This window comes from Homo sapiens, chromosome 14 (assembly GCF_000001405.40).
Source record: "Homo sapiens chromosome 14, GRCh38.p14 Primary Assembly".
NCBI lineage: Eukaryota > Metazoa > Chordata > Mammalia > Primates > Hominidae > Homo > Homo sapiens.
In genome coordinates, this window is record NC_000014.9 from 55,977,599 (window position 1) to 56,003,350 (window position 25,752).

The 25,752-nt window shown below is 40.4% G+C and overlaps 1 annotated feature.

The window, feature by feature from the left end:
- Positions 14,857 to 15,358: an enhancer, noted in NCBI's record as "NANOG hESC enhancer chr14:56459173-56459674 (GRCh37/hg19 assembly coordinates)". NCBI's record gives its function as "activates a minimal SCP1, AML or CMV promoter by ChIP-STARR-seq in naive H9 embryonic stem cells {active_cell/tissue: H9 hESC(naive)}" and the evidence as "EXISTENCE:reporter gene assay evidence [ECO:0000049][PMID:30033119]".

Below are 25,752 nucleotides of genomic sequence, written 5' to 3' on the forward strand. Positions count from 1 at the left end.
TCTCAGGCCTCTTGGCAGCCAAAGGCCCTATTCTACAATTGCCAGGTCTCCCTCCAAGGACTGGGGTATAATGGAGATCTCTAAAAAGAATATGTTTAGATGAATAAAGCCATTAAAGAAATACAATTCCCATGCCAGGAGCCAAGCTATGTAACTGACAGGATAGCAATTCATTTAGAATGAATATCTCATAAGGGAATGCAAGAATTAAAATGGACATAACAGTGAACTCAAGAGATTACCTGCAATAGAAAGGAAAATTCACTTGTTTGAGGGAGAAATGAGTTAAAAAGATGTAACTACTAAGAAAAAGAGATGGGGGGAGCCAAACGTGAATGGACTCTCATTCCCACTAGTCATTTAATTTAGCCATGGAGAAATGTTGGCGCACATTTAGGTGGCAGAGCACAGCAGCCTCTAGCCAAGTAACAGTATGTTGCTTCTTTAGCTTTATCATATCAAAGAATATGGTGCATGGATTGAGTGTGTTTATCAGTCTATTGGCTCATTAATAAGATCCCAAGAAAGATAAATATTAATAGCAATGATGCATCCCACATAGTGGAAATGGACTCCAGAACCCAGACTGTGGGTGAGAAGGTTGGAACTCAACCCTAGGCTCTAGCACCATGACTTGCTCACAGGAAGTCCTCTGCCAATGTCTTCCGGTTCCCTGAAGACATAATCTTGATGTGTGAATTTAATGGCCCAAGGCGAAACCGATCTATTTCTTTTGGCCAGTCCTTGATAGGTGCGGCCTGTTGGAGTCCACGTTCAGACCTAGGGAACGGTGGTGGTCAGTGATGGCTATAAAGATGACCAGTGTATAGGGTAGGGAACCTCCACTCATAGGTCCCCTTACTTGTGCAGCTTCCTGGATTTTTTTCCCTTAGTGTTACATTTTGAAGACAACTGTTAATTTTATGTAATTTTAATCACCTACAGTTAGGGAACATATGCAATGTCCAAGGCTTATTATCATGGCTATAAATTAGTCCTGTATAACATAGAGATTAAAAATATAGGTTTTAGAGTCCCTTACTCATTCACTCATTTAGCAAATGTTTACAGATTCCTAAAGAGACCCTACCCAGAAAAAAAACTCAAATTCCAATTCCCAGCCCACCCTTGCTAACAAAATAGTGTTGAACATATTATTTAACTTTCCTCATCTGTAGTGTGAGGTTAATAATACATATTTCCTGGGCTTACTGTGAAAATTAAGAGAGCCATTTCAGTGTCTCCCATGTAACAAATACTCAGCAAATAGTAAATACACTATGATTATTGCTTTACATAAGTAGATGCCAATTATCTTCCAAAGATTTATAGTTTGGCTGAGAGGCTGTACACAGAAAGTAATAATGATTTATTAAAAGCAATAGGTAAAGAACCAGCAAAAGTGACTGCCAGCTTGTGTGGGACTGTACCTCTTAACATCTATATATATGCATATACATACACAGAGAGTTTTTAAAATGAAATTATGCTTGCTGTCAAGAATTCTTCACACTGGAAATGGTGGTAGGATTGCTCTCTGTACTGGCAGAGTCCCCAGGATCGGGCCTGAAATTATTAGAAGTAATCATCAGGTTGAGTTACTTATACAAAGCCAGTTATTCGCCATCTGCCATTTGGAGATGTGCCCTTGGGCCCTGCTTGGATACCAGCCCATTGCTATGCAGCAGGGGGAAATGTTTCTGTCCAAATAACTTATCTCTCAGTTTTGAATTCTAATGACAGAAAGGACTGCAAATAGATGCTCTGTCTTAATGATAAAGTGAACAATGGGCATTCATTGTGCTGCTCATGGGCAGAAACAATGGATAGGACATGCATTTGGAGGATTCTGAGATAGAACTGAAGAATAAAATATCTAGAGAACTCAAACTTGGTTCAAAAGATAAATTCTGTAGAAATTTGGCTAGGTAGGAGGAGAAAGTCCCATGTGTCTAACCTGAGGCAGGGGTTAAGGCAATGCGGAATATGTGAGGGTTAAAAATTATAAAGCAATGTTAAGATGATGTGTGAAGCACGTTAGGCACAAGTCATATTTACTGTGGTCTGGCTGAAATAAAAATAGGCATCAGTAGGAGAGGCTTGGCCCTACCCTATGGAGAGTCTGAGAAACATGTGGGGCCAGGTAGTTAATGACACAAAATCGTTTCCAAGTAGTGATGGAACCCAGATGATTGATGAGAGAACTGAATCTTGTTATTGGATGTGTAAGAGAGCCCACTGTGCAAACTCTATACTTACAATCAATGTGGCTTTTATGGTTTTTAATGCCAAAAAAGCAATGAGGAGACAAAGCTTACTAAACTGACCTCCACCTTCTCTTCTTTCCCTGTCATGACTCACCCATATATATTGCTGAATAATTCTTCCTAAAGTACTGCTTTGACCATATCACTTCCCTGGTTAAAAGCCTTCAATGGCTCCTCAGTGCACTGAACCAAAGTATAGGCATACCTCATTTTATTGCGGTTTGCTTTATTGTGCTTTGCAGATATTATGTGTTTTTTTTTACATTTGTGGCAACCCTGTGTCAAGTAAGTCTATCAGCATCAGTTTTCCAAACATCAGGTGCCCACTTTGTGTCTTTGTATCACATTTTGGTAATTCTTGGAATATTTCAAACTTTTAAAAATTATTATTTTATCTGTTATGGTGATCTATGATCAGTGTGATTTTCAGTGTTACTACTGCAGTTGTTTTGGGGCACCACAAACTGTGCCATATAAGACGGTGAACTTCATTGATCAATGTTGTGTGTGTTCTGACTGCTCCAACAGTTGTCTGTCTCTCTGCCTCTCTCCTCGGGCCTCCCCATTCCCTGAGACACAACAATACTAAAATAAGGCCAATTAAGAAGCCTGCAATGGCCTCTAAGTGTTCAAATGAAAGGAAGAGTCCCTGTCTGTCACTTTAAATCAAAAGCTAGAAAAGATTAAGCTTAGTGAGGAAGACATGTCAAAACCCAAGACAGGCCAAAAGCTAGGCCTCTTGCATCAATCAGCCAAGTTGTGAAAACAAAGGAAAAGTTCTTGAAGGAAATGTAAAGTGCTACTCCAGTGAACACATGAATAATAAGAAAATGAAACAGCTTCATTGTTGATGAAGGCTGAGAGAGGTGAGGAAGCTGCAGAAGAAAAGCTGGAAGCTAGCAGAGGTTGGTTCATGAGGTTTAAGGAAATAAGCTGTCTCCATAACATAAAAGTTCAAGGTAAAGTAACAAGTGCTAATTTAGAAGCTGCAGCAAGTTATCCAGCTCCAGCTAAGGTAATTGATAAAGGTGGCTACGCTGAGCAATAGGTTCTCGATGTAGAGGAAACAGCCTTCCATTGGAAGAAGATGCCATCTAGGACCTTCCTAGCTAGAGAGGAGAAGTCAATGCCTGACTTCAAAGCTTCAAAGGACAGGCTGACTCTCTGGTTAGAAGCTAGTGGAGCTGGTGACTAGATGTTGTAGCCAATGCTCATTTTCCATTCTGAAACTCCTAGGGCCCTTAAGGATTTTGCTCAAGCTACTTTACCTATACTCTATAAATAGAACCAAGTCTGATGACAGCATATCTATTTATAGCACAGCTTACTGAATACTTTAATCCTAGTGTTGAGACCTACTACTCATTTAATATTCATTTCAAAATATTACTCATCACTGACAATGCATTTAGTCACTCAAGAGCACTGGTGGGGAGGTACAAGGTAATTAGTATTATTTTCATGCCTACTTATATAACATCCATCCTGCAGCCTATGCATCAAGAAGTAATTTCAACTTTCAAGTCTTACTATTTAAGAAATATATTTTTTAAGTCTTTAGCTGCCATAGATAGTGATTCTTCTGATGGATCTGGGCAAAGTCAACTGAGAGCCTTCTGGAAAGGATTCACCATTCTAGATGCCATGAAGTACATTCATAATTAATGGGAGGAGGTAAAAAAATCAATGGATGTCTTTGGGGGCTTCAAGGCTTCATATGGAGAAATTAACTGCAGATGTGGTAGAAATAGCAAGAAAACTAGAGTTAAAAGTAGAGCCTGAAGATGTAACTGAACTGCTACAATCTCTAATAAAACTTTAAAGAATGAAGAGTTGCTTATTATGGATGAGCAGACAGTGGTTTCTTGAGATGGAATCTACGTCTGGTGAAGATGCTGTGAACATTGTTGAAATGACAACAAAGGACTTAGAATGTCCCATAAACTTAGTTGATAAAGCAGTGGCAGGGTTTGAGAGGACTGACCTCCATTTCGAAAAAAGTTCTACTGTGGGTTAAATGCTCTCAAAAAGTATTTCATGCTATAGAGAAAACTTTCATGAAAGGAAGAGTCTATCAATATGGCAAAGTTCATTTCTGTCTTTATTTTAAGAAATTTCCACAGCTATCCCAGGCTTCAGCAACCATTACCCTGATCAGTCAGCAGCTATCAACACTGAAGCAAAACCCTCTGTCAGTAAAAAGATTATGATTCACTGAAGGCTCAGATAACTGTTAGCATCTTTTAGCAACAAAGTAATTTAAAATTAAGTTGTATATGTTGCTTTTTAGACATACGTTTTTGCTCACTTAATAGACGACAATATAGTATAAACATCACTTTTATGTGCACTAGGAAACCAAAAACTTCTTATAAATACAAAACAAAACTCATAACAATTGCCAGTATTTAATTCAGTGCTGTGCTGACGCTGTGCTAAGGGCTTTACATGGATTGCCATATTTTAGTCTCCTCAAAAACCATATAAAGTGGATACTGTTACCACCTTCATCTTGAAGGATTTGAGATCCAGAGAGGTTAAAGTCAGCATATGATAACATATCTGGTAAGGGCCAGAGGTATAATTCTTTTGTAAGGCAACTTTGTCAAGGACTTTCAAAGCATATTTGAGAGGAGAGAGGTGGGAGTAAGAGGAAGGTAGTTGCCTGCCTCATATTCCCTGGCCCACCTGAGACCACCTGCAGCTGCAGGGGAAAACAGTTTTCAACACACCGACAGCTTCCCTCCTCAAGCACCTGCCACTCACTTCTCTGCCTGAGTGGTTCCTCCTGCACTCTCCCCATGCCTCCATGAATTCTTGGGGATAAGTTGGAAGTGCAGGGGAGCTCATGCCCCTGAGGCAACCCTCCACCAATGAGAGATGGCAAAGGTGGATAAGACCCAACTCTGTGTCCTCCAGTGTGGTGATTCTGAGGTGTGCTCTCCAGGGGACTTGAGCCTCAGCTACCCATAGTAGTAACCCTCCCATTAACACACTCATTGTTGGCTTTCTCCCCTGCCTATCTCATGTTCCCACTCCCTCAATTCTATGTCCAGGAATCACCACTCAAATAAACTACTGTCACTCAAGTCTTCATCTGGGGACCTCTTTTGGGAGGTTCCAAAACTAAGACAGTTTAGAGGGGATGTATTTAAATCATCTACGCTCATGAGCATTCCATTTAGAAGAGAGCCCTATGAGGATTCTATCTTGACTTTTACCAGAAGGGAGAGGACAAAAATTTGAAAAAGGATGTTGAGGAAGATGAATTGTTTTACCAATGGTAAGGGCTGCAAATGAAGTTATAAAAGGAGTCTTTAAAATGCCACTTGCAGTATCTTGAGAGCAGCACCTTGCAGAAACTAGGCCTGTTTCCAGAGGGTTGGTGATAGATGGCATCCCCCAAGCCTCTGGGTGATGGAGAGACAGCCTGGGAAAATGCAGGAGAATTCTGTCTTTGTCGTGGGCTGTGAGTCCATCCTTCCCTCATTCTGTGCATTCACCTCAGACAGAGATAAGCTGATGTTTCTTGTTTCACAATATTTCAGAAAGCTTTGACAATGGAAAGTAACATAAGCACCTCTTTGTATTCTGAAGGAGCTGACTTTTTGAAGCCTAATTGCTAGGCATTGGTTCTAATACTTTTCTCCAAGGAACTGGTTTAATCTATTTTTATCCTCACAGGTCAGACACAAGATTTTGGTGATTTCCTACATGCTTTAAAAGCATAATCCCCACCATTTTTGGGACACCCACATCTTATTTAGCTTGATTTTATCTAATGCCTTTTCTAACTGAAAGTGAAGGATAGCATACATTTGTTTCTCAAAAAACAATAAATAAATAAAAGCATTGAGATTAATTTGCTCAGACATTTTCGAAGAAAATGTTCTATGTCTCTTGAGATAATTTTATACATCTCTCTGTGTGTTTCAATTAGGATTGAGGATGGATGCTCCAGAATTCAGAGAAAGACCCCTATCTAGCTCATTTGGAATTCCAGGGCAGGGGTATGCTCAAGGCTAATCAAACTGTGGATGCTTTCCCGGCCAGGTTATATATAAGCAGCATCAGATTCAGAAACAGTCGAGTGGTTTGCCCAGTACATTGCATGTAGATGATTTCCAACAGATATTTACTTAATTTTACTTAAACCAGAAAAGAAAGATACTATATCAGAAAAATGTTTGTAATTAATATTAAGATCAATTCAAATATTATGAGTAAAATAGCACAGGCAGCACTGTACCTCCAACTTGAGTTTGCTTCCTTAGGTCATGTGCATGAGTGTGTGGTAGTCTACATGCATGTTCATGATTCAGGACTGAGCGAATATGTGAATTTCATGTCAATTTACTAGACTCCTACAGGCTTAAAACAATGCAATTACCGAGTTTCTGAAATTAGAAATCTGAAATTTGGTCAACACTAGGCTTTTGAGTTTGTTAGTATTCAGTTTGAATACTTGTTCTGCCTTGGTGGATATGTTACCTATGGCAAGTCTCTTTATTTCCCAGAAACCCAGTTTTTTAAGATGTAAGGTTGAGATGATACTCAGCCTAGACCTCTAGGAAGAAGAGCCAAGGCAAGGATTAAAGCACTGAAGCTTTCTTTTGACAAGTGCAAACCCAGAGCCATGCATGGAAAGGGAAGTAGGGAAGCAAGGCAAGGAAAGATGAGGAAAAATGTGATGCCATGTGCCGCTGGGCTGGCCACCACTTCACAGGAAGTTGTTCAGCAGGGTATTCATCAGAAAGCTTATAGAAACCGTATCTCAGAGCTATTCATGCAGGGGAGAAAGGAGAGGGACTTACTGGTTCAATCCCTTACTATCTCTTGTCTCCCACTGGTACAGATTGACCTCATTGGCAACTACCTTCTCCCCAGCTTCAAGGTTGCATCTTCTAGCCCTTTGGTGACTGCTCAGGAATCCCACCCCAATGGTCTGCAGTGTGGCATTTGATCCCAGTGTGGAAGCAGAAGGGGATTCAGAGATGATGAGGCTCAGCAGGTGTGGTGTGAAAGCTGGGCAGACTCAGGGGTTCACGTGGATGCTGATCAGCCAGGGGTGCTGGGCAGGGGCACAATAAAGGTGCTCACAGTGGTGCAGCCTGAGAGACGCCTTTGGAATGAAGCAGGTGACCAAGAGAATTGAGAAACCACACAAAGTTTATGCCCAATACATGCTGGTACCTACCACGTAGAACTCTAGTCAAAATTGAATCCATGAAAAGTATAGAGCGCAATACCTGGTGTCAGAGTGACCATGTGGACTCTGAACCAGATGACTTGAGTTGACTTTAGCTTTGCCACTTGAAACCATGTAAATGCAGGTAAGTCACTTGCTTTAAACCTTGGGAATCTCACTGTAAAAGGAACAATAATAATTGTATCGATTTCGTAGAGTTTGGGGCAGGAATAAATGAGATAATAAAGTGCCTAGCACAATGTCTCATGTGGGTAAGTGGTCAGTAAATGTTAGCCTTGATGGTGATGATGATGACAAAGATGATGATAATGAACCAACAGTGTTTTTATGTAAAGCAAAAATTTTGTTCCCTAGATTCCTGGGTTCCTGAAGCAATTCTTCTTTAATGTCAATTATGTATAATTATCTGAGGAAATCATTTGTATCTGGCATTTTCTATTTTTTGGTTTGCATTCTTGTTGTAGTTGAATTATATTAAATTTGATTTCAGTTTCTCTCAAAACCTTGGTTGCTGGAAATTTACCCAGTGGCTGAACATGATAGCAGCAACTGCTGTAAGAAAATCACTATGCAGACTATCGGGCAGCAAGATCTCTTAATAAATCTTGAGCCTGGTCTGAAGTTTAATAACTTTGAAGGCAACCATAGTTGGCCAGTCAACCAAAGACACACCAACTTTATTAATATGATGTTATGGAGTTCTTATCAATGTATGTATCAGTGGGCACCCTAGCAACAGAACCCATCTCAGTGCTGTCTACAAACATTTTTGGTTTCTGGTTTCTGCAATACTTTCTGAGTATGGATTGATCTGTGTCCTCAACTAGAGGCAAACTAAATGATTTTCATCATTCAGGGCTGAAATGTTCCTCATGAAAAAAAGAACTCATTATATATACTTAACTTTAGACACTTTTGTGCTTTCTTGAAAGAAGCCAGGAAACAAGTAGTTAAAAAAAATGGAATATGTTGCCTAAATTCACCATAGATGTAGGACAAATCTCAGCAATGCAGATCAGATGTCCATGTGGTCTGTATACCTTTGAAAGCTAAGTCAATTTGGAACAGGGTGTGTGGAGAAGGTGCAGGAGCCAGGGTACTTCCAAGGAGGATTTACACAATGCAATTTCCTTAGCCTGTCACTGTCTCTCCCCTCCTCCACATACACTTCAGCCTGTGAGCCCGTCTCATCTAGCTCATGTGCCCTGATAAATATAAACCCCCGAGAGTTGCCTCAATAAGAAAAAAAAAAAAACCTCAGTTACTGACCTGGACCAAGGGCAGTAGTTCTGTATTGAAGGGAATCATTTTCTCAGCAGGCTTACTCAGCTACATTTTCTCAGCAGGTTTACACAGGTACTAGAGATTGGTTACAACCATGGATTTAGACTCACTCAGATATTAGTTTGAATCCTGTTCTGTCATTTACCATTTATGACTCTAGGCAGGCTACTGAGTCTCTGCTCCTCAGTTTTCCTATTTCTAAAATAGGGTTGATGACGAAAAAAAAGATGATAATGGTAATTACTCTTTAAGAAGCCCCCTAAATGCCCCCTAAACTATACTATGTGCTTCATGTACATTCTTTCACTCATCTTCACAATCACTCTTTGATGCTTGTACCATCACAAAAGGCAGCACTCTTTAAGGAGTAGTTACTATCATGCTCACTACAAATGTCCACCCCTGTTACTCCAGAAAAACTCTTTCATTCCTAACTCCAGATACTGCTGCTAGGGTATGACAAATATTCTCATCTGTTTTCTTGAGGCATCAAAGCCTTTCCCTTTTTGTCCCAGTGCTAGATATATCCAAGATGTACTGATGGAAAGGATATTTTGTTCCATCATTCCTCCAAGAGCTGTGTAGTACAAGTAGTTTTGTCTTATATTATTTAAGGATATTGATCTGTTCTACTCCACGTTTACTTAATGAAGGGTCCAAATGAGGAATTGTTCTACACAATCAGGCTTCCTTATAACTGAACAAAATTTTAAAAGATTAAAGTAAAAGCAATAATAAAAATAATCTTCCCAATAATCCTGTAAAATATCTTTTGGATTTGGGTATTGAATTTTCTTTGGCATTGTTGGGAGATTTTGTAATTCAAACTGTTCTTTATTCGGCAGTTACTTTGTCACATTAGCTCCATTTTATAGATCTGTTCTACTGATGCCAGCGCCTACAGAGCAGCAGCCCTGATCAAGACAGGTAGTCAGCCTCCAGGAAGGTGAAATCTCTACTGCCAGAGAGAATATAAATACTCATTTCTACCTTTGGCCGTGATTTATTAGTAGTGTTTGGATGGTAATTTAACTTAACCCATAATGCATGGCTTATGGGTTATAAGCAGTTTATCATAGGCAGTGCCATGCACTCTAAACTCCTGAACCCATCCTGAGAACCATCACAGACACAGAATTACTTGTGCTTTTCCAAAATGGCATATTTATTTTAGTTAAAAATTGTAACTTCCTGCAACCTAACTATTAGTTGACACATTTTTTAAAAAATCAAGCACAGTTGTCTGTAAGAATGTGCAGAACTATAAGTAATCTAACTGCAGAAGCTCTGCACTGCTTGTGGAATACACACTAGACTGCAGTATCCATTGGCTCACTTGAGAGCGTTGGGAAGGGCAGGGGCTCCTACGCTCACTTCCAGGAGGTCTGGGTTTGGGCTTCCCTTGGAAGGTGTCCCCCACTCAGGACTCTGAGCATAAAGCCCACTTGGAGCTCATTTCAGGGACACCCTGGAGTCCTCTTCTGTGTGCAGTGAGACTAAGCAGAACCCAAGGAGCAGGTTTATGTCTGGGGTTGCCCAGAGGCAGAGGATTGGCTGGTGTGACTTTACAAGGTTTCTTCTAGTTTAATGAAATCTCTTCTGAGAGACTGTGACGCTGCCACTCTTCTTTAAAAGCCAGGGTTGATGAAGACAGATCTGAAGGAAGAAGCATGGCTATGGTATTTTAAGCAGCTCAGCAAAATGGTAATGAGGTGATTCCCGAACAGGACCAACTGAATGACCTGTAGGGCCTGTTGAACACGCAGGTCAGGGACTAGTCTACAGAGCTTTTGATTCAACTTTTTGTTGTTGTTGTTTTTTGTTTTTTGTTTTTTTTATTATACTTTAAGTTTTAGGGTACATGTGCACATTGTGCAGGTTAGTTACATATGTATACCTGTGCCATGCTGGTGCGCTGCACCCACTAACTCGTCATCTAGCATTAGGTATATCTCCCAATGCTATCCCTCTCCCTTCCCCCCACCCCACCAGAGTCCCCAGAGTGTGATATTCCCCTTCCTGTGTTCATGTGATCTCATTGTTCAATTCCCACCTATGAGTGAGAATATGCCGTGTTTGGTTTTTTGTTCTTGTGATAGTTTACTGAGAATGATGATTTCCAATTTCATCCATGTCCCTACAAAGGACACGAACTCATCATTTTTTATGGCTGCATAGTATTCCATGGTGTATATGTGCCACATTTTCTTAATCCAGTCTATCATTGTTGGACATTTGGGTTGGTTCCAAGTCTTTGCTATTGTGAATAATGCCGCAATAAACATACGTGTGCATGTGTCTTTATAGCAGCATGATTTATAGTCCTTTGGGTATATACCCAGTAATGGGATGGCTGGGTCAAATGGTATTTCTAGTTCTAGATCCCTGAGGAATCGCCACACTGACTTCCACAATGGTTGAACTAGTTTACAGTTCCACCAACAGTGTAAAAGTGTTCCTATTTCTCCACATCCTCTCCAGCACCTGTTGTTTCCTGACTTTTTAATGATTGCCATTCTAACTGGTGTGAGATGGTATCTCATTGTGGTTTTGATTTGCATTTCTTTGATGGCCAGTGATGATGAGCATTTTTTCATGTGTTTCTTGGCTGCATAAATGTCTTCTTTTGAGAAGTGTCTGTTCATGTCCTTCGCCCACTTTTTGATGGGGTTGTTTGTTTTTTTCTTGTAAATTTGTTTGAGTTCATTGTAGATTCTGGATATTAGCCCTTTGTCAGATGAGTAGGTTGCGAAAATTTTCTCCCATTTTGTAGGTTGCCTGTTCACTCTGATAGTAGTTTCTTTTGCTGTGCAGAAGCTCTTTAGTTTAATGAGATCCCATTTGTCAATTTTGGCTTTTGTTGCCATTGCTTTTGGTGTTTTGGACATGAAGTCCTTGCCCATGCCTATGTCCTGAATGGTAATGCCTAGGTTTTCTTCTAGGGTTTTTATGGTTTTAGGTCTAACGTTTAAATCTTTAATCCATCTTGAATTGATTTTTGTATAAGGTGTAAGGAAGGGATCCAGTTTCAGCTTTCTACATATGGCTAGCCAGTTTTCCCAGCACCATTTATTAAATAGGGAATCCTTTCCCCATTGCTTGTTTTTCTCAGGTTTGTCAAAGATCAGATAGTTGTAGATATGCGGCGTTATTTCTGAGGGCTCTGTTCTGTTCCATTGATCTATATCTCTGTTTTGGTACCAGTACCATGCTGTTTTGGTTACTGTAGCCTTGTAGTATAGTTTGAAGTCAGGTAGTGTGATGCCTCCAGCTTTGTTCTTTTGGCTTAGGATTGACTTGGCGATGCGGGCTCTTTTTTGCTTCCATATGAACTTTAAAGTAGTTTTTTCCAATTCTGTGAGGAAAGTCATTGGTAGCTTGATGGGGATGGCATTGAATCTGTAAATTACCTTGGGCAGTATGGCCATTTTCACGCAATTGATTCTTCCTACCCATGAGCATGGAATGTTCTTCCATTTGTTTGTATCCTCTTTTATTTCCTTGAGCAGTGGTTTGTAGTTCTCCTTGAAGAGGTCCTTCACATCCCTTGTAAGTTGGAGTCCTAGGTATTTTATTCTCTTTGAAGCAATTGTGAATGGGAGTTCACTCACGATTTGGCTCTCTGTTTGTCTGTTGTTGGTGTATAAGAATGCTTGTGATTTTTGTACATTGATTTTGTATCCTGAGACTTTGCTGAAGTTGCTTATCAGCTTAAGGAGATTTTGGGCTGAGACAATGGGGTTTTCTAGATATACAATCATGTTGTCTGCAAACAGGGACAATTTGACTTCCTCTTTTCCTAATTGAATACCCTTTATTTCCTTCTCCTGCCTAATTGCCCTGGCCAGAACTTCCAACACTATGTTGAATAGGAGTGGTGAGAGAGGGCATCCCTGTCTTGTGCCAGTTTTCAAAGGGAGTGCTTCCAGTTTTTGCCCATTCAGTATGATATTGGCTGTGGGTTTGTCATAGATAGCTCTTATTATTTTGAAATACGTCCCATCAATACCTAATTTATTGAGAGTTTTTAGCATGAAGGGTTGTTGAATTTTGTCAAAGGCTTTTTCTTCATCTATTGAGATAATCATGTGGTTTTTGTCTTTGGTTCTGTTTATATGCTGGATTACATTTATTGATTTGCGTATATTGAACCAGCCTTGCATCCCAGGGATGAAGCCCACTTGATCATGGTGGATAAGCTTTTTGATGTGCTGCTGGATTCGTTTTGCCAGTATTTTATTGAGGATTTTTGCATCAATGTTCATCAAGGATATTGGTCTAAAATTCTCTTTTTTGGTTGTGTCTCTGCCCGGCTTTGGTATCAGAAAGATGCTGGCCTGATAAAATGAGTTAGGGAGGATTCCCTCTTTTTCTATTGATTGGAATAGTTTCAGAAGGAATGGTACCAGTTCCTCCTTGTACCTCTGGTAGAATTCCGCTGTGAATCCATCTGGTCCTGGACTCTTTTTGGTTGGTAAACTGTCGATTATTTCCACAATTTCAGCTCCTGTTATTGGTCTATTCAGAGATTCAACTTCTTCCTGGTTTAGTCTTGGGAGAGTGTATGTGTTGAGGAATTTATCCATTTCTTCTAGATTTTCTAGTTTATTTGCGTAGAGGTGTTTGTAGTATTCTCTGATGGTAGTTTGTATTTCTGTGGGATCAGTGGTGATATCCCCTTTATCATTTTTTATTGTGTCTATTTGATTCTTCTCTCTTTTTTTCTTTATTAGTCTTGCTAGTGGTCTATCAATTTTGTTGATCCTTTCAAAAAACCAGCTCCTGGATTCATTGATTTTTTGAAGGGTTTTTTGTGTCTCTATTTCCTTCAGTTCTGCTCTGATTTTAGTTATTTCTTGCCTTCTGCTAGCTTTTGAATGTGTTTGCTCTTGCTTTTCTAGTTCTTTTAATTGTGATGTTAGGGTGTCAATTTTGGATCTTTCCTGCTTTCTCTTGTGGGCATTTAGTGCTATAAATTTCCCTCCACACACTGCTTTGAATGCGTCCCAGAGATTCTGGTATGTTGTGTCTTTGTTCTCGTTGGTTTCAAAGAACATCTTTATTTCTGCCTTCATTTCATTATGTACCCAGTAGTCATTCAGGAGCAGGTTGTTCAGTTTCCATGTAGTTGAGCGGCTTTGAGTGAGATTCTTAATCCTGAGTTCTAGTTTGATTGCACTGTGGTCTGAGAGATAGTTTGTTACAATTTCTGTTCTTTTACATTTGCTGAGGAGAGCTTTACTTCCAACTATGTGGTCAATTTTGGAATAGGTGTGGTGTGGTGCTGAAAAAAATGTATATTCTGTTGATTTGGGGTGGAGAGTTCTGTAGATGTCTATTAGGTCCACTTGGTGCAGAGCTGAGTTGAATTCCTGGGTATCCTTGTTGACTTTCTGTCTCGTCGATCTGTCTAATGTTGACAGTGGGGTGTTAAAGTCTCCCATTATTAATGTGTGGGAGTCTAAGTCTCTTTGTAGGTCACTCAGGACTTGCTTTATGAATCTGGGTGCTCCTGTATTGGGTGCATATATATTTAGGATAGTTAGCTCTTCTTGTTGAATTGATCCCTTTACCATTATGTAATGGCCTTCTTTGTCTCTTTTGATCTTTGTTGGTTTAAAGTCTGTTTTATCAGAGACTAGGATTGCAACCCCTGCCTTTTTTTGTTTTCCATTTGCTTGGTAGATCTTCCTCCATCCCTTTATTTTGAGCCTATGTGTGTCTCTGCACGTGAGATGGGTTTCCTGAATACAGCACACTGATGGGTCTTGACTCTTTATCTAATTTGCCAGTCTGTGTCTTTTAATTGGAGCATTTAGTCCATTTACATTTAAAGTTAATATTGTTATGTGTGAATTTGATCCTGTCATTATGATGTTAGCTGGTGATTTTGCTCGTCAGTTGATGCAGTTTCTTCCTAGTCTCGATGGTCTTTACATTTTGGCATGATTTTGCAGCAGCTGGTACCGGTTGTTCCTTTCCATGTTTAGCGCTTCCTTCAGGAGCTCTTTTAGGGCAGGCCTAGTGGTGACAAAATCTCTCAGCATTTGCTTGTCTGTGAAGTATTTTATTTCTCCTTCACTTATGAAGCTTAGTTTGGCTGGATATGAAATTCTGGGTTGAAAATTCTTTTCTTTAAGAATGTTGAATATTGGCCCCCACTCTCTTCTGGCTTGTAGGGTTTCTGCCGAGAGATCCGCTGTTAGTCTGATGGGCTTCCCTTTGAGGGTAACCCGACCTTTCTCTCTGGCTGCCCTTAACATTTTTTCCTTCATTTCAACTTTGGTGAATCTGACAATTACGTGTCTTGGAGTTGCTCTTCTCGAGGAGTATCTTTGTGGCGTTCTCTGTATTTCCTGAATCTGAACGTTGGCCTGCCTTGCTAGATTGGGGAAGTTCTCCTGGATAATATCCTGCAGAGTGTTTTCCAACTTGGTTCCATTCTCCCTATCACTTTCAGGTACACCAATCAGACGTAGATTTGGTCTTTTCACATAGTCCCATATTTCTTGGAGGCTTTGCTCATTTCTTTTTATTCTTTTTTCTCTAACCTTCCCTTCTCACTTCATTTCATTCATTTCATCTTCCATTGCTGATACCCTTTCTTCCAGTTGATCGCATCGGCTCCTGAGGCTTCTGCATTCTTCACGTAGTTCTTGAGCCTTGGTTTTCAGCTCCATCAGCTCCTTTAAGCACTTCTCTGTATTGGTTATTCTAGTTATACATTCTTCTAAATTTTTTTCAAAGTTTTCAACTTCTTTGCCTTTGGTTTGAATGTCCTCCCGTAGCTCAGAGTAATTTGATCGTCTGAAGCCTTCTTCTCTCAGCTCGTCAAAGTCATTCTCCATCCAGCTTTGTTCCGTTGCTGGTGAGGAACTGCGTTCCTCAGATGGAAATGCAGAAATCACCCGTCTTCTGCGTCGCTCACGCTGGGAGCTGTAGACCGGAGCTGTTCCTATTCGGCCATCTTGGCTCCTCCCCTCTTGATTCAACTTTTTTGTGGGGCCTGGATCATTTATTTTTTGTCAACTTTATTGAGATATAATTTGCATAACCTTTTGTTAGGGCCATATCCATATGGACTCATTTTAAGTACAAAGTTTGATCAGTTTCGATGGTAGTATATGCCCCTTTAACCATCACCACAATCAAGATACAGAACATTTCCATCACCCAAGAAAGTTTCCTGTTTTTTGCACTCAATCCCTCCATACCCCTGGATCCAGCCATCCAATGATCTGCTATCTGTCCCTATAATTGGTGCCTTTTCTAGAATTTTATAAATATGGTGTTGTATGCCATATTTTTTGTATGTCTAGCTTATTTCTCTCAGCATGATGTTTTGAGATTCATTCTTTTTTTTACATTTCTGATTGATTCATTCCTTTTAATTGGTAAGTAGTAGTCCATTGTTGGGCTATATTGCAGTTTGTTTATCTGTTCACTTTTTGATGGACATTTGGGTTGTTCCAGATTTTTGCTATGAGCAACCATGTAAAAGGTCTCTGTGGAATTGCTGGGTCATAAGTGTATGTTTTCCGTTATGAGAAACTGCCAGATTGTTTTCCAAAATGATTGAATTAATTTTGGATTCTAATCAGCATTGTTCAAAAATTTGTTACTCCATATCCTCACCAACACTTGGTATCATCAGTCTTTTTAATTTTAGTCATTCTAGTTGGATACATATATATGATTACTATACTTTAAGTTCTGGGAAACATGTGCAGAACGTGCAGGTTTGTTACATAGGTATACATGTGCCATGGTGGTTTGCTGCACCCATCAACCCGTCATCTACGTTAGCTATTTCTCCTAATGCTATCCCTCCCCTAGCCCACCAGCCCCTGACTGGCCTCAGTGTGTGATGTTCCCCTCCCTGTGTCCATGTGTTCTCATTGTTCAACTCCCACATATGAGTGAGAACATGTGGTGTTTGGTTTTCTGTTCCTGTGTTAGTTTGCTGAAAATGATGGTTTCCAGCTTCATTCATGTCCCTCCAAAGGACATGAACTCATCCTTTTTTAAGGCTGCATGGTATTCCATGGTGTATATGTGCCACATTTTCTTTATCCAGTCTATTATTGATGGGCATTTGGGTTGGTTCCAAGTCTTCCCTATTGTGAATAGTGCTGCAATAAACATACAGGTCCATGTGTCTTTATAGTAGAATGATTTATAATCCTTTGGGTATATACCTGGTAATTGGATTGCTGGGTCAAATGGTATTTCAAGTTCTAGATCCTTGAGGAATCACCACACTGCCTTCCACAATGGTTTAACTAATTTACACTCCCACCAACAGTTTAAAAGCGTTCTATTTCTCCACATCCTCTCCAGCATCTGTTGTTTCCTAACTTTTTAATGATGGCCATTCTAACTGGCTTGAGATGGTATCTCATTGTGGTTTTCATTTGCATTTCTCTAATGACCGGTGATGATGAGCTTTTTTTCATGTTTGTTGGCCACATAAATGTCTTCTTTTGAGAAGTGTCTGTTTATCTCCTTCACCCACTTTTTGATGGGGTTGTTTGTTTGTTTTTTTCCTTGTAAATTTGTTTAAGTTCCTTGTAGATTCTGGATATTAGCTCTTTGTCAGATGGATCGATTGCAAAAATTTTCTCTCATTCTGTAGGTTGCCTGTTCATTCTAATGATAGTTTATTTTGCTATGCAGAAGCTCTTTAGTTTAATTAGATCCTATTTGTCAATTTTGGCTTTTGTTGCCATTGCTTTTGGTGTTTTAGTCATGAAGTTTTTGCCCATGCCTATGTCCTGAATGGTATTGCCTAGGTTTATCTTCTAGGTTTTTTATGGTTTTAGGTCTTACATTTAAGTCTTTAATCCATCTTGAGTTAATTTTTGTATAAGGTGTAAGGAAGGGGTCCAGTTTCAGTTTTCTGCATATGGCTAGCTAGTTTTCCCAGCACCATTTTTTAAAAAGGGAATCCTTTCCCCATTGCTTTTTTTTGTCAGATTTGTCAAAGATCAGATGGTTGTAGATGTATGGTGTTATTTCTGAGGCCTCTGTTCTGTTCCATTGGTCTATATCTCTGTTTTGGTACTAGTACCATGCTGTTTTGGTCACTGTAGCCTTGTAGTATAGTTTGAAGTCAGGTAGCATGATGCCTCCAGTTTTGTTCCTTTTGCTTAGGATTGTCTTGGCTATACGGGCTCTTTTTTGATTCCATATGAAATTTAAGGTAGTTTTTTCTAATTCTGTGGAGAAAGTCAATGGTAGCTTGATGGGGCTAGCATTGAATCTATAAATTACTTTGGGCAGTGTAGCCATTTTCACTATATTGATTCTTCCTATCCATGAGCATGGAATGTTCTTCCATTTATTTGTGTCCTCTCTTATTTCCTTGAGCAGTGGTTTGTAGTTCTCCTTGAAGAGGTCCTTCACATCCCTTGTAAGTTGGATTTCTAGGTATTTTATTCTCTTAGTAGCAATTGTGAATGGGAGTTCACTCATGATTTGGCTCTCTGTTTGTCTATTATTGGTGTATAGGAATGCTTGTGATTTTTGCACATTGATTTTGTATCCTGAGACTTTGCTGAAGTTGCTTATCAGCTTAAGGAGATTTTGGGCTGAGACAATGGGGTTTTCTAAATATACAATCATGTCATCTGCAAACAGAGACAATTTGACTTCCTGTCTTCCTATTTAAATACGCTTTAGTTCTTTCTCTTGCCTGATTTCCCTGGCCAGAAGTTCCAATACTGTATTGAATAGGAGTGGTGAGAGAGGGCATCCTTGTCTTGTGCCAGTTTTCAAAGGGAATGCTTCCAGCTTTTGCCCATTTAGTATTATATTGGCTGTGGGTTTGTCATAAATAGCTCTTATTATTTTGAGATACAGTCCATCAATATCTAGTTTATTGAGAGTTTTTAGCATGAAGTGGTGTTGAATTTTGTCAAAGGCCTTTTCTACATCTATTGAGATAATCATGTGGTTTTTGACATTGCTTCTGTTTATGTGATGGATTACGTTTGTTGATTTGCATATGTTGAACCAGCCTTGTATCCCAGGGATGAAGCCCACTTGATCATGGTGGATAAGCTTTTTGATATGCTGCTGGAGTCTTTTTGCCAGTATTTTATTGAGGATTTTCACATCGATGTTCGTCAGGGATATTTGCCTGAAATTTTCTTTTTTTGTTGTGTGTCTGCCAGGTTTTGGTATCAGGATGATGCTGGTCTTATAAAATGAGTTAGGGAGGAGTCCCTCTTTTTCTATTGTTTAGAACATTTTCAGAAGGAATGGTACCATCTCCTCTTCATACCTCTGGTAGAATTTGGCTGTGAATCCATCTGGTCCTGGGCTTTTTTTGGCAGGTAGGCTATTAATTACTGCCTCAATTTCAGAACTTGTTATTAGTCTATTCAGGGATTCAACTTCTTCCTGGTTTAGTCTTGGGAGGGTGTCTGTGTCCAGGAATTTATCAATTTCTTCTAGATTTTCTAGTTTATTTGCATAGAGGTGTTTACAGTATTCTCTGATGGTAGTTTATATTTCTGTGGGATCAGTGGTGATATCCCCTTTATCATTTTTTATTGTGTCCATTTGATTCTTCTCTCTTTTCTTCTTTATTAATCTGGCCAGTGGTCTATCTATTTTGTTAATCTTTTCAAAAAACCGGGTCCTGGATTTATTGATTTTTTTGAAGGGTTTTTCATGTCTCTATCTCGTTCATTTCTGCTGTGATCTTAGTTATTTCTTGTCTTCTGCTACCTTTTGAATTTGTTTGCTCTTGTTTCTCTAGTTTTTTTAATTGTGATGTTAGGGTGTCGATTTTAGATCTTTCCCACTTTCTCCTGTGGGCATTTAGTGCTATAAATTTCCTTCTAAACACTGCTTTAGCTGTGTCCCAGAGATTCTAGTACATTGTGTCTTTGTTCTTATTGGTTTCAAAGAACTTATTTCTTTCTGCCTTAATTTTGTTATTTACCCAGTGGCCATTCAGGAGCAGGTTGCTCAGTTTCCATATATTTGCGTGGTTTTGAGTGAATTTCTTAGTCGTCAGTTCTAATATGATTGCACTGTGGTCTGAGGGACTGTTTGTTATTATTTCCATTCTTTTGTATTTGCTGAGGAGTGTTTTACTTCCAATTATGTGGTCAATTTTAGAATAAGCGTGATGTGGTGCTGAGAAGAATGTATATTCTGATGATTTGGGGTTGAGAGTTCTTTAGATGTCTATTAGGTCCGCTTGGTCCAGAGCTGAGTTCAAGTCTTGAATATCCTTGTTAATTTTCTGTCTCGTTGATCCGTCTGATATTGACAGTCAGGTGTTAATGTCTCCCACTATTATTGTGTGGAAGTCTAAGTCTCTTTGTAGGTCTCTAAGTAGGTCTCTAAGAACTTGCTTTATGAATCTGGGTACTTTAGGATAGTTAGGGTAGTTAGCTCTTCTTGTTGCATCAATCCCTTTACCATTATATAATGGCCTTCTTTGTCTCTTTTGATCTTTGTTGGTTTAAAGTCTGTTTTATCGAAGACTAGGATTGCAACCCCTGCTTATTATTATTATTATTTTTTGCTTTCCATTTGCTTGGTAAAAATTCCTCCATCCCTTTATTTTGAGCCTATCATGTGTCTTTGCACGTGAGATGGGTCTCCCGAATATAGCACACCAATGGGTCTTGACTCTTTATCCAATTTGCCAGTGTGTGTCTTTTAAATGGGGCATTTAGTCCATTTACATTTAAGGTTAATATTGTTATGTATGAATTTGATCCTATCACTATGATGCTAGCTGATTATTTTGCCCGTTAGTTGATGTAGTTTCTTCGTAGTGTCGATGGTCTTTACAATTTGGTATGTTTTTGCAGTGGCTGGTACCAGTTGTTCCTTTCCATGTTTAGTGCTTCCTTCAGGAGCTCTTTTTAGGGCAGGCCTGGTGGTGACAAAATCTCTCAGCATTTGCTTGTCTGTAAAGGATTTTATTTCTCCTTTGCTTATGAAGCTTAGTTTGGCTGGATATGAAATTTTGGGTTGAAAATTCTTTTCTTTAAGAATGTTGAATATTCGCCCCCACTCTCTTCTGGCTTGTTGGGTTTCTGCAGAGAGACCTGCTGTTAGTCTGACGGGCTTCCCTTTGTGGGTAATCTGACCTTTCTCTCTAGCTGCCCTTAACATTTTTTCCATTTCAACCTTGGTGAATCTGATGATTATGTGTCTTGGGGTTGCTCTTCTCGAGGAGTATCTTTGTGGTGTTCCTTGTATTTCCTGAATTTGAATGTTGGCCTTCTTGCTAGGTTGGGGAAGTTCTCCTGGATAATATCCTGAAGAGTGTTTTCCAACTTGGTTCCATTCTCCCCATCACTTTCAGGTACACCAATCAAATGTAGGTTTGGTCTTTTCAGATAGTCCCATATTTCTTGGAGGCTTTGTTCATTCCTTTTCATTCTTTTTTCTCTAATCTTGTCTTCATGCCTTATTTCATTAAGTTCCTCTTCAATCTCTGATATCTTTTCTTCTGCTTGATCGATTTGGCTATTAATACTTGTGTATGCTTCACGAAGCTCTCGTGCTGTTTTTCAGCTCCATCACATCTTTGTGTTTTACTCTAAACTGGTTATTCTAGTTAGCAATTCCTCTAACCTTTTTTCAAGGTTCTTAGCTTCCTTGCATTGCATTAGAACATACTCCTTTAGCTCTGAGGAGTTTGTTATTACCCACCTTCTGAAGCCTACTTCTGTCAATTCGTCAAACTCATTCTCCATCCAGTTTTGTTCCCTTGCTGGTGAGGAGTTGTGATCCTTTGGAGGAGAAGAGATGTTCTGGTTTTTGGAATTTCCAAACTTTTTGTGCTGGTTTTTCCTCATCTTCGTGGATTTATCTACCTTTGGTCTTTGATGTTGGTGACCTTTGGATGGGGTTTCTGTGTGGACATCCTTTTTGCTGATGTTGATGCTATTCCTTTCTGTTTGTTAGTTTTCCTTCTAACAGGCCCCTCTGCCACAGGTCTGCTGAAGTTTGCTGGAGGTCCACTCCAGGCCCTTTTTGCCTGGGTATCACCAGTGGAGGCTGCAGAACAGCAAAGATTGCTGCCTTTTCATTCCTCTGGAAGCTTCATCCCAAAGGGACACCTGCCAGATGCCAGCCGGAGCTCTCCTGTATGAGGTGTCTGTCGACCCCTCCTGGGAGGTGTCTCCCAGTCAGGAGGCATGGGGGTCAGGGACCCACTTGAGGAGGCAGTCTGTCCCTTAGCAGAGCTTGAGTGCTGTGCTGGGAGATCCGCTGCTCTCTTCAGAGCCAGCAGGCAGAACGTTTAAGTCTGCTGAAGCTGCACCCACAGCATCCTTTTCCCCTAGGTGCTCTGTCCCAGGGAGATGGGAGTTTTATCTATAGGCCCCTGAGTGGGGCTGCTGCCTTTCTTTAAGAGACGCCCTGCCTAGAGAGGATGAATCTAGAGAGGCAGTCTGGCTACAGCAGCTTTGCTAAGCTGTGGTGTAATCCCAGCTACTCAGGAGGCTGAGGCAGGAGAATGGTGTGAAACCGGGAGGCGGAGCTTGCAGTGAGCTGAGATCGTGCCACTGCACTCCAGCCTGGGTGACAGAGCGAGACTCTGTCTCAAAAAAGAAAAGTAATAATAATAATAAATAGCTTCTGATAGCCTGAAAGCAACCCCATCCCCAAGTCCCAACCTCAGCTCTGAGGCTGCCCCTGCTATTTTACCCCGAGGCTCACCCCTAATAAACAGGGCCTTGGGGACTCAATCTTTTTGAGCATCCAGGCTTGCCTTCTCTCTGCCACTCTTGCCCACTAATTCTGTAAAGACCATCTCCATGTGCTGTCCTCACACCTGCCAACTCCATTACTAGTCCCTTGGAGCTGAATTATATTGGATGAGTAGGTGCTGGAAGTGTAGGAGGTCACCTTCCTGACAGACGGACAAGCAAGAACAAAGGCTCATAGTCATAAAATAGCCTGACCCCTTTGGGAAACCAAAAGTAACTAAATGTCCCTGGAGCATGGGTCAGAAAGGAGAACCAGCCTACAGAGGGCCTGTCTGCCATGGTCCAGGGTTTGAACTTTCTCCTTGGGAAGGCTGCAATGTGTGTTTCAGAAACTCTTCTGTGTTTCTGAAAAATTACCCCAGTATCTGGGAGGAAAATTAATTGGAGGGGAGGAACAAGGGAATAGAAAATTAGAAGTGTCTTGTTGTATTCCAGATGTATCCCCAGGACTTAGCCCAGTTCTGACTTCTTGTAGGTACCTCGTAATTATTTTTAAATTAAAGAGTGAAAAAAGGTGAATGAATCTTTTTGTGTTACTCATTTGGGTTTTTCTGTGTCTACCCCCACTCTCCACCCCACAAAAGGTAGTAGAACATATTGGGTGCAGAGCGGGAGGCACTGGGCCCTTCTCAGGTCTAAAGATCATCCCGCCAAGGTAAAGTACCTTGCCGGTCTCTGGGGCTGTCTTGTCATCGTCATAGTTTTGGGACCTTTTCCACCTGGTCCTCACTCATTCCTTCATTCAGCAGTCTTTGAATATTTATTAGAAGCCAGGCGTAAGCTGGGCATATGGAGATGAGAAAACATTATCTCTCCTCTCAAGAAATTTGTATTCTTTCCTCTCATCTGTAAGTCTTAAGCCAGGGCCTGTGAACTTTTTCTATCAAGGGCCAGGTAGTATTTTTGGCTTTGCAGGTCACGTGATCCATTGCAACTAACTCGGCCTTGGTAGTGCTAAGGCAGCCACAGACAATCATAAACTCAGAGGCCTGGCTGGGCTCCAGTTAAACTTTATGGGCACAGAAACTTGAATTTCATGTTATTCTCATGTACCATGAATCTTAATCTTCTTTTGGGGTTTTTTTTAAAACCATTTAAAAATGATCAGGGGTTGTTCAAAACCAGGTAGGGGCAGGGCAGAATTTGGCCCATGGGCCTCAGTGTGCTTACCCCCTGCCTTAGGTGCTCTTCTCATAATGTATGGACAGAAATCTCTTTATTTTAACCTCAATATGGTCACCACTACCAGGAAACTCTCTCATGCTTGCCTCTTTGTTTCACCCTCCCACCCCCAATCCCTCCCACTCGAATCCAAAATCTGTGCTATCAGAATAATCTTCCTTCAACATAAACATGATCCATTATTCAACACCCACCCTCCAGGTGCCCCCAGAGCTGTGCTGTGGGTGAATCCCAGCCCCCCAGGCCCTTCTGTGTCTGTTCCTCATGGCTCCTCTCTGTTCTCCTCTCCAGCTTCTTTCTTGCCCCTTCCCATCCCAACACCCCGTTACCCCAGCTGTTCTAAGCCTTTTGCAGCAGCTCTCTCCAGCCTGTGTTCCTGGGCCCATTGTGTTTTCTCTGCCTTGGATCCTTAACCTTTCTATGTGGTGAACTCCTACTTGCTTTGAAGGCTCAGCTCACTTTTCACCTTTAGGTAGTTTTCCTTGACCTCTCACCCCAGGCAGAATTAGACATGCCTCCTCTGGGTTCCCAGTACTCCATGACGCCTACTAAACTTGTAGCACCTTGAAGGTTGTGTCTTGTCCTTTCCTGAGTCCCCAGTTCAGTGTGGACCATATAGAAGATGCTCTGTAGATATTTTCATGAATTCTCAAACATCAAGACCTATTTTTATATAATATATAAAAAACAAGTATTGTACATACACTCCTTTATTATTTTTCTCTTCCTAGTTTGATATGTTACTGCCACTATTAAAATTTAAGCTTTTAAGTGTAGACATAGAGTCCATTTTTCAGTATAGACCTTCCCCTTCCTTTGGAATACATAAAATAACACTCTACAGCTCATGGACTCACCAGTGGGGCCTCTGGGTGATCACGGTGGCCTTCATTAAAATAACTTTAACCACCTTCCCTATGAGGAAGCACAGAATGTCACTGAGGTCCTGTTGGTCTTTTCCTTTGACAGATGAGGAAACTGCAGCCCCAGAACAGTGAAGCAGCTTTCTCAAGGATACTCAGCTGGTAAATGACAAAAACAAAACAGGGGCTGGGAGCTAGGCCTTGGCATTACTAGCATTCTGATTTTTGAGGCAGCTTGCCAGTGAAAGCATTGTGCTGTGAATGTAGATTTGCAATTTATGAGCATGGAGGTGTGGGGTGGGCGGGGGGCGTGGGGTTGTGCCCAGGAGGCTGGGCCGTGGTAACCTTTCGTTCTTCACATTCTTTGAATAGGATGCCTTGTTTGCTTTTCTTGCTGCTTTCGTGTATCAGTCATTCCCTTAAAACAGCCACACTCATTATAGCTGGCAAACAAACGGTCGGGAACTAGGCAACTCCAATTATTTAACTCAGCATGTGAAACCATTTAATCAGAGCTCACAGGACTGAGGGGCAGTATTAAAAAGAAATAGGCACCCTGTCTGGCCCCCAGAATGAACTCTTTTCAGGAGAGAAGAGAGCTTATATTATTTATTGTGGCAGGACTAAGATATACTGTAGTATGTAAATGAGAAAAGGACTAGATGATAAGAGTGTGGAAACGAGGGTTCCGTCTGAACTCCCTTGCTGAGTTCTAGTTCTTTCTTCTTCCTTGTTTTCAGTTAAAATTTTGGGAAAATTATTTAATTATGGTGTAACTTCATTTCCTCACCATAAAATAGAATCACTGTTATTTTGTATCTTGGAAGCTGTCTTATGATACTGCTATGAAACCTGCCATGCTGCTGCCTTCATCATCTTGCACTCATTCAAGTGGTTATAGTTACTGAAGTACCAAAAAGACCACATTAAACAGTGGTTTCAGCCGCAAGAGGTAGAATTTGGTGGCAGTTCCGCCATGCACACAGACACATTTTTAAATGTTTAGAAATCATAAGCACACATTTAATTTTTCATTTAATTTTGTGTTCACCATCTTTTGCCTTTTTTTAAAAAAAAAATGGTATAGGCAGCCTTTTGTTAAATATAAGATTGTAGGGGATGGGGCATTGTCTGGGAAATGTAATAATTGAAAACCACATTGAAGACTGATTCAGACGGAGATGCCGCAGATGGCAAGAGTC